Source organism: Homo sapiens, chromosome 2 (assembly GCF_000001405.40).
Source record: "Homo sapiens chromosome 2, GRCh38.p14 Primary Assembly".
In the NCBI taxonomy this organism is placed as follows: Eukaryota; Metazoa; Chordata; class Mammalia; order Primates; family Hominidae; genus Homo; species Homo sapiens.
In genome coordinates this window covers 80,218,364-80,235,574 of record NC_000002.12, presented here as the reverse complement: position 1 = coordinate 80,235,574, position 17,211 = coordinate 80,218,364, and the positions used below count along the sequence as shown (strand labels likewise).

Here is a 17,211-nt window from a genome sequence, read left to right as displayed (position 1 = left end):
GAGTCTCTGTTTCCTGCAACCAAAGGACTCTCCCAACTGACACAAAGGAGCCAGCAGCCACTTGTTCTCTCCTGCTTCCCACAACTTCCTCAGTCAGTATCTGTGCCACTCACCAGCCAGGCAGCCCCACACTTGGCCTTGACTGGCATCTACTGTTATTAGTGTTTGCAGTGATTGATAGTTCCTTCAAGAGCAGAAACAGCCCGAATACTTGGAAAAATCTCCTAGAGTGTTTAGTACAGTGTCAGGCTCTCCATTCACACAGAATTGCAGTGTTGTTTTCAGGGTTTATGGTTCCTAGAGTTAATTATGGAAATCCCTCTTTTATGGGGAAGAAGTGTGTTAAGCTTAACTCTATGTACTAAACAAACTTACTTTCATATATGCATATTTGAACATTTAAAATATTATTAAAGTAACAATGGACAAATATGAAAAAAATCACAAAGCTTAAAAAGGGAGTTACTAATCTTCAGAATACTAGTTCATTCTAAATTTTAATAAACATAAGAATTGGGTTTGGCATCAGGCATACCATATATCAACGAATGTAGTGCAAATTTTATAAACAAGTGATTAGATAGCCTGCAGGCCAAATCAGCAATCACCTTTCTTTGGTAAGTAAATATTTATCAGACACAGCCACACCCATTTATTTGTTATTGTTTATGGATCTTTATGGCTGAGTTAAATAGTTGTGACTGAAACTGGCCTACAAAACTAAAAATATTTACAAGCTAGCACATACCAAAAAAAAAAAAATCTGCCAACTTTTGGAATAGAAGAAATATTATATTAACCATTCCCCTGTCTTCATAATATTTCTCAGTACTGTGTCGTCTTTCTTCATTCCTTTTATTTCCCCTCTGATCTACATACTCAATCCTGCTCCTCTCAACTGCAGCAGTATCCTCCAATTCAACTCCTATCATCCATTCCTCACCCTCTTGCCTGAGACTTTGCCTGTGGTAATCTCTTCTGTAAGACTTTATCAGCCGAAAAACTCTTGATAGCATCAATCCAGCATTCAAAATGACAAGATCCCTGCTTTACCTTTGAGAGGTCATGAGTAAAAGAACCCTTCCCAAAGGAAGATTATAAGAGTATAATGAAAGATTAGTGAAATATTAACTAAAGCACTTTTCCTAGAAGCCACCAAAAAGAATTAGAGGTGTTAGGGTGGGGGAAAGGTTCTACGAAGATTAATACCTTCTAACATTTGTGCTTCCTCTATATGCAATATTTCCCTTAAAGTATAGTGAGACCTGTAATCCCTGTAGTTTGGGAGGCCAAGGCAGGTGGATCACTTGAGGTCAGGAGTTTGAGACCAGCCTGGCCAACATGGCAAAACCCTGTGTCTACTAAAAATACAAAAATTAGCTGGGCATGCTGGTGCGTACCTTGGGAGGCTGAGGCAGGAGAATTGCTTGAACCAGGGAGGTGGAGGTTGCAGTGAGCCAAGATGGTGCCACTGCATTCCAGCCTGGGCGACAGAGTGAGATGCCATCTCAAAAAAAAAAACAAATAGTGAGTCTATTAGTATCCTTTATTTGGGCATGAGGGTGCAGGAAGATTGTAAAAATCTACTTAGTCAAAGTAGTGATACTAGCTAACACATATTTTATTTACCACTTCTATAGTACTTTGAAGATCAAAAGAACTAGATATAGCCTCCTACAAGGACAACACTTAATATTATGAGAAATCTTTCCTTGTTCTGACATGTAATGAAATACTTCTTCAAAGCTATTAACCCAAAGTCTAGGTGGGATTGCCTGAGTGAATGAATATGGCATTCAATCCCTAACTTAGTGGGTGTCCTAAAGGTATGGATGATATTTTGCTGTGCAGATATTTCTCCATGGCTGTGTTTCCAAAATCTGACTGCTAATTGTCATCACTCATAAAGAGATGCCTTTTCTAGCAAAATATGATAGCATTACCTCAAATCCATGTCAATATAATTAAGTTTTAGTCTGTCTGTCACATCACAGATAATGGCTGAGTGGATTTTCATTAAATTTGGAGGCTATGTGTCATATGCTAAAATTAATTTGGGGGACTGATAGAAGGGGGAATGCCACAAAAGAGGGCAGTTATTCTCCAGAGCAGCTGCAATTGAGATAAGATGGAAGGTTTAGAAGCTTTGCATGTAGAAGAGACAGGCCATAAGTATTAAAATGCCATGACAGAGAAAACAAGTAGTGTCTTCAAATGAGTCTCAAATCGACACTTCCAGGGGGCATCTGCTCTTTTTCGGTGGGATTGCTTCTCACATGGGCAACTTTGTGGAAGAGCACTCTGCTGTGCACCTCAGCAGACATTTATTTCACAATAATTCACAATTTTTGCAACACTACCAAGGCCAGAGTCCTCAATAATTTAAAGAAGATACTCTGTATTTTATTACTTAGGTATGCAGACCTACAGTTACCATTACCCAGGTTCCTACTGAATTTTCAGGGTGGCAGTTCATAATCCATCAAGGATGTCACGAAGCAACTAAAGAGTAATTCTCTTTTCTCTGATATCTGACAGGCAACAGTCACAGAATATTTTAGGAATAAAGTAGATGAATTGATCTTTCTTGGTCACTTAACCAGCAAGTGAAATGGAAAAAATAAACATGATAAAGTTAGAAAAACTAGGCTGAATCCCAGCTGGCTACAAATCAGCTTTGGTGAACCTTTCTCATCTTTGATTGCATCATGTGTAAGTTGAGATGAACACGACCCCTTTTTGGGTCAGTCAAGGTTGTTTGGTTATAGGAAGTAGAAGCCATCCCAAGCTATCTAACGAAGTGACATTGGAACTCAAGGGCAGGAAGGTAGGGGCCATTCCTCATGTGAGACCTGAACCAAGGGCAGAAGGTCTGGCTTTCCGGGATGCTTTGGACTCCAAGACTGTGTCCCACTTTGTTTCTGCCCAGAAGTTTTCTTTACTCTGCACATGGCACAAAAATGGCCACTCCAAGCTTGCAATCCATCCAACATTCCAGTTAACATGCTCACTGATAATTTCTGTATCAGATTCACAATCAGATAATCTGATTGCTCAGCCCAGATTACCTCTAAGTCAGCCACTCACTCCTGGCCCAAGTCAGGACTGGGTATGGGAGATGAAGAAGGAGAAGGGTGGGGAAAGAGGTTACAATTTCTAAGTAGAGCTGCCAAAACTAGTGTTAACAAAAAAAAAAAAAAAAAAAAAAAAAAAAAAAAAAAAAAAAAAACAAACAAACAAACAAACAAACAAAACCCAAATTCTGTAAAATATTTGAAGAGATTTATTCCAAGTCAAATATGAGGACGATGACCTGTAACATAGCCTCAGGAGGTCCTGGGAACATGTGGCAAAGTGGTTGGGTTACAGCTTGGTTTTACATGTTTTAGAGAGACTTACGATGTTAATCAATACATGTGACGTATACATTGGTTTGGTCCAGAAAGGTAGGACAACTTGAAGTGAGGGCTTACAGTTCACAGGTAGAGTCAAAGATTTTCTTGCCAAGATTTGCAATTGGTTGAAAGAGTTAAGTTATTATCTAAAGACCTGGAATTGATAGAAATGACTGTCTGGCTTAAGATAAGGGGTTGTGGAGACCAAGGGTCTTATTATGTAGATAAAATCTCATAGGTGGCCACCCTTAGAGGCAATAGATGGCAGATGATTTCTATTTAGACCTTTAAAAGGTGCCAGACTCTCTGGAAAAAAAACTAGTAAGGGAAGGAGATTCTCTACAGAATGCAAATTTCTTCCATAAGAGACAGCTGTGCAGGGCCTTTCTAAAATATGTCAAAGAAATATATTTTGGGGTAAAATACTTTGATTTCCTGCGGGGCCTGCTGTCTGTCATGTGATGCTATACCAGTGTCAGGTTGGAATTTGGGATCTTATTGCCACAAAGAGCCTCTTTTGTCATTCTTAAGGTCTCTCTTTTAATGTTAATGTTGGTCAATTGTGTCTAACCTCCAAGAGGAGGAAAGTATAATGAAACATGTCTGACCCCTCCTTCCCATCATTGCCTAAAATAGTTTCTCAAGTTTTCTTTGGGTTCTCTGGGACCTGAAGAGGGGTCCACCCAGCTGATTGAGAAACTTATAATTTTATATTTGGTTTACACTGGACAGTAGAAATTGCCTAAGAAGGACAGTGCCTTGCCTGATCAGTGGGAAGATGACCTGAGGCATGTATGTATGAATGCCGTACCATCACAGGCAGTCTCAGAGGTGACGCTCTGAACCACTGTGACTGAGCTGGATGATCAGAATGGATTCAAACACCAGGAACAGGCCGGGTGTGGTGGCTCACACCTGTAATCATAATACTCTGGGAGACTGAGGAGGGTGGATCACCTGAGGTCAGGACTTCAGACTGAGATCAAGAGACCAGCCTGGCCAACATGGTGAAACCCTGTCTCTACTAAAAATACAAAAAAATTAGCGGGGGATGGTAGTGCATGCCTGTCATCCCAGCTACTTGGGAGGCCGAGGCAGGAGAATCACTTGAACCTGGGAGATGGAGGTTTCAGTGAGCCGAGATCATACCACTGCACTCCAGCCTGGACGACAGAGCGAGATTCTGGCCCATAAAAACAAAACAAAACAAAACAAAACAAACACCAGGAACACAATCATTCTACGTCTGCTTCTGCACTGTGTTAACTGAGAGGAATTTGGCTAAAAGTAAGATAATGTCCAATTCAACCTAGCATAAAGAATGAGAATCTTTATTGGCTGACAGAATAAAAAGTACAAAGGTAGAGCAAGCTTTGGGAATGAACTCTACCTAGTAGCTCCAGTTTTGGATCCCTGGAATTCTCTGTGATTTCCTTATGTGAGCTTCATCTTCCTCTGGATAACAACAAAATAGCTGCAGTGGTTCCAAGCCTTGTGGCCACATGACAATGCCCAGGAGAAGAGTGAAAACATCTCTTCTTGTGGCTTTCTCTGAAGAAAGAGAACACTTTTCATCATGGCCCAGAAAACTTTCCCTTTTCCGTCTGCTTTTTCAAATGGGAACAGGTTCTCATTTGTTTGATGAGAAACTGATAAATGCCACAAACTGTTTGGCTTACACCTGGATTCCTAGATGAATCCAGAGACATGAGGGCATAGAAAGTGATGATGAAAAAACACCCACAATGTTGATTATTGTAATACTGATTTATAATAATGAATATAGACCAGTGCAGTGGCTTACACCTACAATCCTACCACTTTGGGAGACCAAGGCAGGAAGATTGCTTGAGGCCAGGAGTTCAAGACCAGCCTGAACAACAAAGCAAGACTCTATCTCTTAAAAAAAAAAAAAAAAACAAAGAAAAAAAAAGAGAGAGAGAGACAAAGAAATATATACAGGCATGCATTGCTTAACAATGGGGAATAAGTTCTAAGAAATCTGTTGTTAGGTTATTTTGTTTTTGTGTGAACATCATAGAGTGTACTTACACAAACCTAGATGGTACAGCCTACTACTTGCCTAGGCTCTATGGTGTAGCCTACTGCTTGTAGGCTACAAACATGTCTAGCATGTTATTCAACTGAAAATTGTAGGCAGTTGTAAAACAGTAGTACTTTTATATCTAAAAATAAAAAGATACAGTAAAAATAGGGTATTGTAATCTTATAGGACCACCGCTATCATATATGGAGTCCCTCATTGGCCAAAACATTATATAGAGAACCCCTAAAGCGCCCAGAATTTCCTAAGTAATACAAACAATAAAAGTGAAAGGAGTGTCTTTTGCTGTTTATAATAAGTCCCTTTCATCCTTACCTGAGTTTATGTTAATGAGTAACTTTTGGAAGGTCTCTAAGGATAGAGACTGGTTGCCATGGGAATCAAGTATTTGAACACATTTGATTAGAGGGTTGGAACTTTCAATCCCCTGTCCCATCACCAATGGCCAGGGATTTAACCTATCATGCCTATGTAATGAGACCTCCATAAAACCCAAAGGATGGAGTTCAGGGAGCTGCCAGGTTGCTGAACACTTAGAGGTGCTGGGAGGATGGTGCACCTAGAGAGGGCATGACAGCTCTGCACCCATCCCTCATATCTTGCCTTGGCATCTCTTCCATCTGGCTGTTCCTGAGTTGTATCCTTTTATAATAAACCAGTAATCTGGTAAGTAAACTTTTCTTGCGTGATGTGAGCCATTCTAACAATTATTAAACCTGGGGAGAAGATTATGTGGACCTCTGATAGACAGTCAATCAGACAGCACTGGACTTGGAACTGGCATCTGAAATAGGGGCAGCCTTTTCAGACGGAGCCCTTAACCTACAGGATCTGATGTTGTCACCAGTTAGCTAGCACCAGAATTGAGTTTAATTGCAGGAAACTGAAGAAATACCTGGTATGAAAAATACTCCATATCTGATGTCAGAAATGAAGTATAGAGTGTAGTACTGGCATGAATTTCACAGACAGGAAAAAAGAGTTTCATTTCTATTATACACACTTGCCCATCTGATTCCTCAGGTAATTGTGACATGGAAAAATCTATTTGTTTACGAAAGGGAGAAGCTACCTTTAAAAAATAATTCTCTGTCATCCATTAGATATCAAGGAAGAAATAATGTCTATCTACTCTTAGAAAATAGGGCTGGGCATTTGAATCTAAAATGCATGCATAAAAGGTATGAATGACTAACATAAAGCTCAGGGTTTATGTTTGCTGTTACAAAATGAGAAAGAACATAAGAAGAAGAGTGAAGTAATATATTCAAGGCTAGTCCAATCATAAGGGAATAAGCAGTACACAAACTGTAAATGGTGACGTAAGCTCTCCTACAACCAGCTTTACCCCTCTATTTTGTCTTATGTGCTTCTTTTTAATTGTCCTCAATGTGCACTGAACAATAACACTACTATTTCAGATTCAGACAGTGACCTCAGAATCCCCTGTAATGAGTCCTCCCCAATAGGTGAGTGGATCTGTTTCTTGTGACACCAAATGAAGAAACACCTCAAAGGGAAGTTAAAGGAGAGGGGACAGTAAAAATAGGGTATTATAATCTTATGAGATACGATAGCTGCTATGGCCTGAATATTTGTGCTCACCCCCATCATCAGATTCATATGTTGAAACATAATTCTTGGTGCAGTGGTTTTGGGAGGTCAGGCTTTTGGAAGATGATTAGGTCATAAAGGCAGAGACCTCATGAATGGTATTAGTGCCCATGTAAAAGAGGCCTGAGGGAGCTTGTTCACTCCTTCCACCATATGAAAACACAGCCAGAAGACACTATCTATGAAGCAGAGAATGAGCCCTCATCAGACAACAAATCTGCTGGTCCCTTGATTTTGAACCTACCAGATTCCGGAACTGTGAGCAATAAACTTCTGTTGTTTATAAATCGCCTGGTCAAAGATATTTTATTATGGCAGCCCAAATGGACTTAGGCAATGGCCAGTCTTACTGACAACAAAATTTTGCTGAACACAGATCCTGACCATGTGCACTCATGGAGAGTTTGTCCAAGTTTGGTCTTGATACAGAAAAGCAGCTTGGTCTACATAGGACTCAAACACAGTACACACTGTACACTAACCACTGAACCCACCAGCCACATATCAAAGGGCATATTTTAGGAAAAAAAAAATGCTGCCTGGGCAACTTCCCTTTCTCAAATTTGTCCACACTTCCCCATATCTAGATCACACAATAACTTAAGCATGTGGTTATTCTCCACTGGGGTCCTTTAATAGTTGTTTTTTTTTGTTTTTTGTTTTTTTCGAATTTTGTCTTTATACATCAGTAAGCTGCTAAACACCCACCTTTCTCCTGGATCTCTCAGACAAGTCATAAATGTCATCTTCACTATGTTTCTTCATCAGTCAATCTGGTTGACATCTGTAACCAAGTGAAGCAAAACCACAGCAGGACAGCTAGAAAGCATGGGAGGCTGCCCTGTGCACATCATGAGGACCTAGGCCAACATTTGTGGGTCATCACGCCACAGGCACAACTCGGGCTCACATCCATGGACAGAAAGAGCCATCAGCAAAGTCAAGAAGCAGCTCCTGTCTGTGCTTCTATGGAGAAGGATAATTATCAAATAGATGGCTGAATGCCTGGAAATATCAGTAAGGGCTGGGCGTGGATTGTAACGTGAGACAAAAGACCCTAAACGCAGAAGTCAGAACAAACGTGGACAAGCTTCCAGTGCTTCATCTATAAATGAAGATTATATCACCCCCTCCTTATATTAGTATGTGAGGCAAAAATAAGTCAGAAAATATTTTGTAAACTTATCATTCAGCACCTGACACTTGGTAAGTATTCAAAAAACAGTAGTGCTTATTATTATTTCATGAAATAATGCCTAAGGTGGTGTCCCTTCTTGGAAACACAGGCCCATGAAAATTCATCCACAGTGGCAAAAATACACTAATTTATATCCACTAAGCAATAAGATATAATAAAGGGAACCCTAAGCGGAGGTTTGAAATGGATGATCTGTGTATTCAAATACTCCGTATCATCCTAAAATGAAGGTGGCATTTACAACAGCTGTGCCCATGCAATCCTGCGAATGAATTTGCTACATGATATATCCTAAAGCTGTTGTTAACCCAAGTTTAGCATCCATGATAACATACCCATGCTTCTATAAGCAGGAGGAACCTAGAGTTGATTTTAGGGAAATGAAATAAAAGTGAAGGGGGGTGACACTCGGGGCAGGGCAGAACAAATGCACTGCATCCTGGAGATGAGCTGGAGGGGAAGGGGCCCAAGGAGAGGTGTGAGATGGGATATGAGAAAGAGGGAGATGTTTCTATGTCAAGTATTTTAGTCTGAATTTCAGGTCCCTTTGGCCCCCAGAGTCATGAAGTAGGTTTGGGGAATTTGTCACTCAGGACCTCCATCAGGTCCTTCCTGTACGAAAAGGCTTCCCAAATTCAAGCTCGAGGGAAAAAGTAGGGTGGAGGGAGATATGAAGACAAGAAAGCATGGCTGTCTGTGTACAGCATATAAGCCACGCACTGCCTCACTCCAGGGGGACCAGTCAAATCAGAGTGATGCCAGTGCCGCAGTGAGTTGGATCCGAGAGATGTACACCACCATAGGCAGAAGCCCCACAAATTGTCAGTGACACTCTAAGTCACCTGTGCCGATGTGGCACCTGCCACGAACAAACACATTTGAACAGCCAACATCCCAAGTTTCAGGGCAGCTGTGTGACCTTGAACCTCTGGTAACACTCTCAAGATCTAGTCATAGGGAAAAGGCCTCCAGTCCCTCAGAGGAGTTCGGTTTAAAACCATGCCTTTATCCCTTCATCATGAAGTCATAGTTAAGTATTCGTCTAATTGAACATAGAATGAAATCACAGGCCTATTAAGAGAGACCAACTGTAATTATCCAAATGAGCTGTTTTAACCCTAGCAATTTAGGTATGTTCCACAAAACACATAGTCCCATTAGCTGAAGTCATGGAAGGCCATCATAAGGATGGATTATCTCAATCCTCATCTGATAATGAATGCCACAGAAAAAAAGATTATTAAACTTTTGGAGGAACTTAATATTGGGAATGATCAATTAAAAACTGTGATACAGAACCAATTCATTATACACAAAAAGGATAATGCCACACTCTTTCTGAATTGAGATCAAGAATGGCTCCTAGTATCTAATCAGTATTTTTGGTTGTTATAGCTATCACTTAAAACAACACAAATCCACCATCAGATAAACACTAATAGTACATCCAAAGGAAATTGAAATTGATTTCTGTATTAGCTTGCACTAGATCAACAAATTTCATTTATGTAGGATCCCATTGCTTTGACTTCAAGGCTGAATGAGATACAAAGCAACTATTTTAATAAAATCTAATTCCTCAGGAAAAAAAATCATCATCCTACATTTATGCTTCAGCTAGTAGGAAAATAAGTCTGACAGAACCATTATATGCTATTCTATATACATAGCTGTTTTCAATGAAGTTACTTCATGATGTTTTCCTACTATGGCAATGGAGAATGTTTTCAAAAAAAATTAAAAATAGGGAATTGCTGCTCTAAAACATATACATCACAAAGGACTCATATTCTGCATTTTTCTTAAACCACTTACCATAAAACTTTCATTTTTTATGGCCAACTCGGTGCTGATTTCATGATTTGCAGCCAGGAACAACTGATTTCACAGCATCAGTCTGTCATAAATCTTAAGAACCTAAGTTCTGAATCCCAAAGCAGTGCCCAGAGACACAAATGAGATTTCTCTTCACAAAGTGTGACCTGTGTTTGCAGTTTAGATTAAAAGAAACAAAGTTGAGAAAAGGGCAATCGGGCTCTGCTTTTCCAATATTTAGAGAAATGTTTAATTTCTTTTCCAAATGTAGCCATGGCCAGGTTGGAGCTCTGAGAGTGAACCTGCTGGATGGTTGTCACTTGGGGACAGCAACACAAATTCCCAAGGAGGAGACAGCACTGACCTCCATGGCACTGGTGGGGCCACTCATGGAACCAAACATTTATTTTATTGTGTGGCCCCCTTAAGGAAAGATACTGACACACTAGAATGGGGTCCATGTGATAGTGACCAGGCTGGTGCAGTGTGGGGATTTGGATGCAGCAGGCTGAGTTTTCTTAAGCTATTTATCCTGCACAGAACTGGGCAGGGGGGTTAGGTGGAAATGATCCTTCTATTTTAACAGCTCTAAAAGGACAATTAAATTTAATCTGTGGAAGCAAGAAAGGTGTGGGAAAGAAAAAAAAAGCTGTATAATTGAGGATGTGATCAATTGACTGAAGAGGGCCTAATAGTTTAGCAACTAGAGGTAGGTCTCTTGTAGCATTAATAAATGCAGCTGTGGCTGGGCACGAGTGGCTCATGCCTGTAATCCCAGCACTTTGGGAGGCCGAGGTGAGCAGATCACGAGATCAGGAGATTGAGACCATCCTGGCTAACATGGTGAAACCCTGTCTCTACTAAAAATACAAAACATTAGCCGGGCATGGTGGCAGGCACATGTAATCCCAGCTACTTGGGAGGCTGAGGCAGGAGAATCGCTTGAACCCAGGAGATGGAGGTTGCAGTGAGCCGAGATCACACCACTGTACTCCAGCTTGGGCGACAGAGCGACACTCCATCTCAAAATAAAATAAAAATAAAAATAAAAATAAATGCAGCTGTAGAGGACTGACTGAATTGACAGGCCAGATATGAAAACCTGGCAAAGAGATACAAGCCATGAGTATGCCAATGTCATTCCCGACTCTAAGACTTAGGTGGAGAGAATCTTGCTTATGGCCAGAAGACATATGCTTCATTAATTATAAAAGAGAAGAGGGTAAGGGTGGGTGCTAATGAAGATGATGTGGTTGGTATAAATTGAGAAGTGGCAGTGTGGGGTCTCCTTGGTAGCTGGCAGTTGAGAGTGTCCTTCTTTCTGTATTCTTTATGATATGAGCAGGATCCTAAGCTCTAGGGACATGAGAACAGAAGACAAGAGAGTTTATGTGTCAAGAGGGCTAGAACAAGTCATGGGAAGTGAGCAGCTAAGGCTGGTTCTCTGGCTGGGACAATCGAGGGGCCATCTAAGAGCACTGAGTGCCAATGGCACACTAGGAACTGGCACTGGCAGATTTCTTTCTTCTTAACTCCTTATATGTCAGCTTTACTACCCGTAATGCATATACTCAAGTGTGGTATCTAAACAGTATGATTACCTTGGACCTGGCAAACTACAACACCAAGGAGGCTGGGATAATACCTCTTTTTAAGATTATCAGTCACATCTGAAGCCACAGGCATGAGCATTGATTCAAAGCCTTAAATGGGATCAAATTTTCCAAACTAGATGGGAGCCTAGTTCATTCTGTAGAAAGCAAAGTTGCTTTTAGGATATATCCTAAGTGGTGGTCACTCTTTCCTTCCAACAGACAGATTAAAGAGTGTCCTGTGACAAGAACACAGAACTCTTGAGTGTTCTGTGATATGGCTGTTTAAGGAGACTGAGAAAATTTTATATGTAAGAAATAGGGCCAGGCGCAGTGGCTCACGCCTGTAATCCCAGCACTTTGGGAGGCCAAGGCAGGCAGATCACCTGAGGTCGGGAGTTTGAGACCAGCCTGACCAACATGGAGAAAACCCATCTCTACTAAATATACAAAATTAGCTGGGCATGGTGGCTCATGCCTATAATCCCAGCCACTCGGGAGGCTGAGGCAGGAGAATCACTTGAACCCTGGAGGCAGAGGTTGCTGTGAGCCGAGATTGCGCCACCAGCAATTCCTCTCTCTTCCCTTCCTCTATCCTGACTTCCTGATGTTTTCGTTTATCGCTTTATTGACCAAAAGCCTCCTGGAAAACAAGTATTCTTCATTACGTTCCAGAAATAAAGACCACTCAAAGAAAGCCTCTGTTACATCCTGAGAAACACTAACTTTAACTCAATTTGCCTGATCTTTCCAGTGCACTGGACAGCCCATAGAATTTACAAACTCAATAAACAGATAATAATATGGTCATGATGGGTATCTGAAACCTAGGATGTAAAAAAACAGATTATGGAGAGCTGCATGAGTACAATCAATTACTGAGATTTTCCCGAATACAAATCCTATCCAAGCAAAACTAATATAACCCCCAAATTAGGAGAAGTCCACAGTCATTTTAGATGAAATCTCAAAAGAAACCACAATCTCATTCTCTTTTTTTCAAATTTCAGGACTTTAACATTTATTAAACAACAAAAACAAAAATGCTGACATATTATATTGTACATATTTGCAAATCCAACTGTGTAAGAAGGTGCTTTGGTGGGATTTGAGATTATAGCTAAAGAGATCCAGGCATAAAGTTATCACTGCCTGATAGGGAACGTAAGCTTTATTTACAATGAGATGACAAATACTTTTGAGTTTTTCTTGTACATCCTTGTACACCCACCTGGCTTCCTAGGGTTTGTGTACCAGCTAACTAATTTATGTATTGTGACAGCAAGAGTGAAGAAGAAAAAAGTGCTTGGGCCTGGGCTTTAGAAGACCAAAATTCTAGTTCTGTCTTTGCCATTAACTAGTTGTACCATTTCAGAGGAGTCACCTATGGCATTTCTTTGGACCTTAAATTCCTTCACCCTAACCTTTAGGATCTGAGTCTCTAGAAGATCTGAGTCATGACTTTCTCTTTGCATTATATAAGATTTGCAAATATAAACAGCAAATTTAATATTTAAATATTAACAAAACTATGCATGGTATAAGGAAATATAAGTGATAAGATAAAGATATAATTTGAAATCAGGTAGAGTATGAGAATAATTTATTGTGGAAGTAAGACTTGCTTTGTGTATAAGCAGAATTTGGGACTCTGGAGGCAGAAAAGTAATTTAAAAAATATAGACCAGGATGATGAGATGATGGGGCCTATGGCTGATTTTCTAGCCTGGTTTTTGTCACCAGTGCTTTTCATCCTGACTCCTATCTCACTGTGTATTGACAAATGCCCTTGTGTTTGGCTTGGGCAAAGGGGATGTGTTGGTTTGCTCTCCATAATTCTACATGTCAAGTGTTGGCTGTTTGGCAGTGGTGGGGAATGGCAAAGCCTTCCAGGAGTCTGAGCACTGGTAAGCATTCTCAAAAGCAGTGGTTTTATTATGAAGCAATTTAGATAAAAAGCCAAACTCCTTCAATTTAAAGCCATACAACTGGAGGCAATTAAACCTGCATGATTAAATTTCAGAAATTAAAAACCTATAAAAAGCATCCTACCAAAAGGATCTGTCTTGCACACATTTTGATCATTAATCTGAAAGCTCTTTGGCTGTCCAATACCACCTCATCCTTTCCTTCATCTTTTTGATTGCTCAGGCAGTTTATAAGACATGTAGCACATGGAAAATCAAACCAAGGTAGTGCAGCATCGGATCCATTTCCACCCTTCTTCCATGAAATTTTCAATAATTAAGGGGAAGAGGTACCAATGGAAGAAAGGAAGCTGAATGCCAGGAAATGAGTATATCAGGAATAAGTGGCTCATGAAAGGAGATTTAGACTCAGTCTGCATTTTCTAGTATAGTCGCTGAATTGGTAAATCACCTTTCACTTAGCCATTCCTGGGACATGGTGCCCCAGCATGGGTCAGCAGAATTGTAAGCCCCTAACTTGGGCAGGGTGGGGTATTGTAAGAAATGGGATTTCTTTCCAACTTGCCAGCTGGCCTGAGGTCCCCATATCACTTCCTTCTCTACCATACACCCCTCTACTGCAGAAGAAAATCCAATCTGGGGAAAGAACTTAAGCCAACATTTGTCCCAGTAAGAAAGTAGTAGTCCTTGAAAGAGGGCAGTAATCCTACACTTAATGAGCTATCAGAACCTATGTGCTTGATTCCTATTATATGCAGCTGGTAGTCTTTAATAAAAACGGGAAGGGCTGGGCAAGGTGGCTCACGCCTGTAATCCCAACACTTTGGGAGGCCGAGGGAGGTGGATCACTTGAGGTCAGGCGTTGGAGACCAGCCTGGCCAACATGGTAAAACCCCGTCTCTACTACAAACACCAAAATTAGCCCGGCATGCTTGGCGGGTGCCTGTAATCCTAGCTACTTGGGAGGCTGAGGCAGGAGAATCGCTTGAACTCAGGAGGTGGAGGCTGCAGTGAGCCGAGATTGTGCCACTGCAATTCAGCCTGGGCAACAGAGTGAGACTCTGTCTCAGAAAACAAAAACAAAACAAAACAAAAACAAACAAAAAACCAGAAAGAAGTATTGTTATTAACAGACCCTTAAGGTCCTAAAGCTTAGATACTCAGATGGAAAATATATAACTCTAAAATAGCAGAAAAGAATTCTAACTTCTGATGAGAGGGTGTACAAGCTGAGCTTCAGCACACATATGGTGGGCTCCTACACCAGCAGCAAGAAGTCCAACAGAAGCAGCAAACATGGAAGAAATCACTGCAAAGTGTGACTATCCATGACAAATGCAGCAGTACCCAGAACCATGAAGGCCATCCCAAAGAAGGAATCTTTTCTTAACTCTTTAATTTTATTTTTAATAGAGCCGAGGTCTTGCTATGTTGCCCAGGCTGGTCTCAAACTCCTGAGCTCAAGCAGTCCTCCAGTCTTGGCCTCCCAAAGTGCTAGGATTACAGGCATGAGCCTCCATGCCCAGCTGAAAATTTAAAAAATGCAAAAACTAGGCAACTTACTGTTAAATTAATTGCCTTGAGGCAGAAGGAAAAAACGTGGATGCCATATAAAAGCTGATGAGTCTTCTATTATTTGTGAGCCCATGTGGCAGACGTCCTGAGTGTGTCAAAAATATTCAGTGTTGACTCCAGGAGACTGGGGAGAGAGGAGCATTGTGTAGCTTCTTTCCAAGTATCAAGCATGAACTGATGAATTAGTATGTCTATGGCAGAAGAAGAGGGCAAAGGAATTCATTTAAATCGTGAACTTTTACAGTTACAGGAAGAACTGCAGTCAGTATCCCCAGCAGTATCCTTGGTATACTGCATTCAGTATCCTTTGTGGTCAAAACAAAGTAAGGTATTAAAGGGATGCAATTGCACAGGAAGTTGGGTATTTTTGTTTGTTGGTTTGTTGGTTGTGGTTTTTGTGTTTTTTTTGTTTGTTTGTTTCAATTTAATGTACTGTGAGGGAAGGAATAAACATACATCTGTTATATCATAAAAATGTAAACAGTTGATATAAAATGCAGAGTAATTAAACATAAAGTTGCATAGAGAAACCTCTCTTGATGTGTTTATGTTAAATGGAGAGAAAATAAAGGGACTTAACAAAAAGAGTGCTAATTAAGAAGCAAGAGGGCTAGAAATATGAATCAATAATGGACACAAAATTGAGGTTTTGTTATATATTTAATTTTTCTTATTAGATATAGATTTTTGTTTTTGTTAATCAAACCCTTTCTAAAGGCAGGTACTGAGGAAATAGAATGGGCAAAGGTAAAGAACTATGTACATCAACTCTGCAGTGTTACAGGTATTACAGAGAAGATAGGTGAATGGGTCGATTGGTGAGTAGTCTGGACACAGACTGGTATTCTAGATCTTAAATTAGGTAGTATATATTTAAAACAAAAGCGATAGAAATTAGAAACTTTGATCCTCACCTAGATAATTCATAGGGATTCAAAGAGGTTGAATCAAATGTGAAAATATATAAAAGAAATTATTTTAAAATCATTAAATGCTATAGGAACATTGTGTATTAAGATAATAATAGATAACAGTGCTTCAAACCCAATAGTTTCTCAATAATTTGGTTGAATTATAGATATTGCTAAGTCCCCTCTCACTGTGCAGAATCCTGGGAATATAGTGGGATACTGAACAAAGTTTATTGCACAGAATTACTGCAATCAAAGATGGCATTGCAAAGGCCATGCAAAGATGGGATGCAAAGATGGTGTGCTCAAAATTACAATATGACAAAAGTCAAGGTCTTAGCAACCTAAGTCAGTCAAGGTTCAATCCTGGCTTTTTTTCTTTCTTTCTTTCTCTTTCTTTAGCTCTTGAAAATGGATTTCTCTATTTCCACTAATAATTGCCACGATATCCAAGTAACCTAAGTACAGTCTACACAGGTGATTATATTCTGGTTGTGGATCCTTAGCATGTGATTCTACATAACATTAAATTGAGGTTTTAATGTGTGTAATCATCCATTACTAAATGATACGATTAAATATTTCTCATAATAAGTATTATCCTATACCTCAGATAATTCTAAGCATTAAATAAATTGTAGCACCAATTCAACAACACAAAGTACTCTTAAATATATTTTCACTTTGTCAAATGGGGAGAAAGTTGAATGCATAAGGAGGCCAACATGAATACTAATAGCTATATTTATTGAGTCCTTACTAAGTAGCAGGCACTGGGCTAAGGGCTTTACATGCATTATGTCTTCTAAATCTCACAACAACCCTGTGAGTAAACAATATGACTACTCTCATTTTACAGTCAAGAGAACTGAGCCTAATAGAGGGTAAGGAATATGTTCAAGGTGACAGAGCTAATCATATCAGAGCTGAATTCCAATCTCCTCTGATTCCAGAGCCCTTGCTCTTAACTACTTTGTTGTACTGCCTTTCTATTCACCTTTTAATACATTGGTCAATAATCGGATGTCTGCCCCAAGGGCAATCCCTTTAAATATAGGTTTGTCTGGTCTTTTCATGAATCCATAAACTGCTGTCGGATTAACATAGGATGTCCTGAA

The 17,211-nt window shown here is 40.0% G+C and overlaps 1 protein-coding gene and 1 long non-coding RNA gene across 12 annotated transcripts in view, besides 1 other annotated feature; both read right to left on the bottom strand.

The window, feature by feature from the left end:
• Positions 1–17,211, bottom strand: part of CTNNA2 (catenin alpha 2) — a 1,463,404-nt gene that overhangs the window by 413,206 nt on the left and 1,032,987 nt on the right. The window lies entirely within an intron of this gene.
• Positions 3,684–4,337: an enhancer, noted in NCBI's record as "OCT4-NANOG-H3K27ac hESC enhancer chr2:80458363-80459016 (GRCh37/hg19 assembly coordinates)". NCBI's record gives its function as "activates a minimal SCP1, AML or CMV promoter by ChIP-STARR-seq in naive and primed H9 embryonic stem cells {active_cell/tissue: H9 hESC(naive and primed)}" and the evidence as "EXISTENCE:reporter gene assay evidence [ECO:0000049][PMID:30033119]".
• LOC107985903 (uncharacterized) lies at positions 4,711–12,047 on the bottom strand. Its single transcript, XR_001739569.2, has 2 exons — positions 7,066–12,047; positions 4,711–4,946 (listed from the first exon to the last, which is right to left on the bottom strand). It is a non-coding gene; the product is annotated as an uncharacterized LOC107985903 (long non-coding RNA).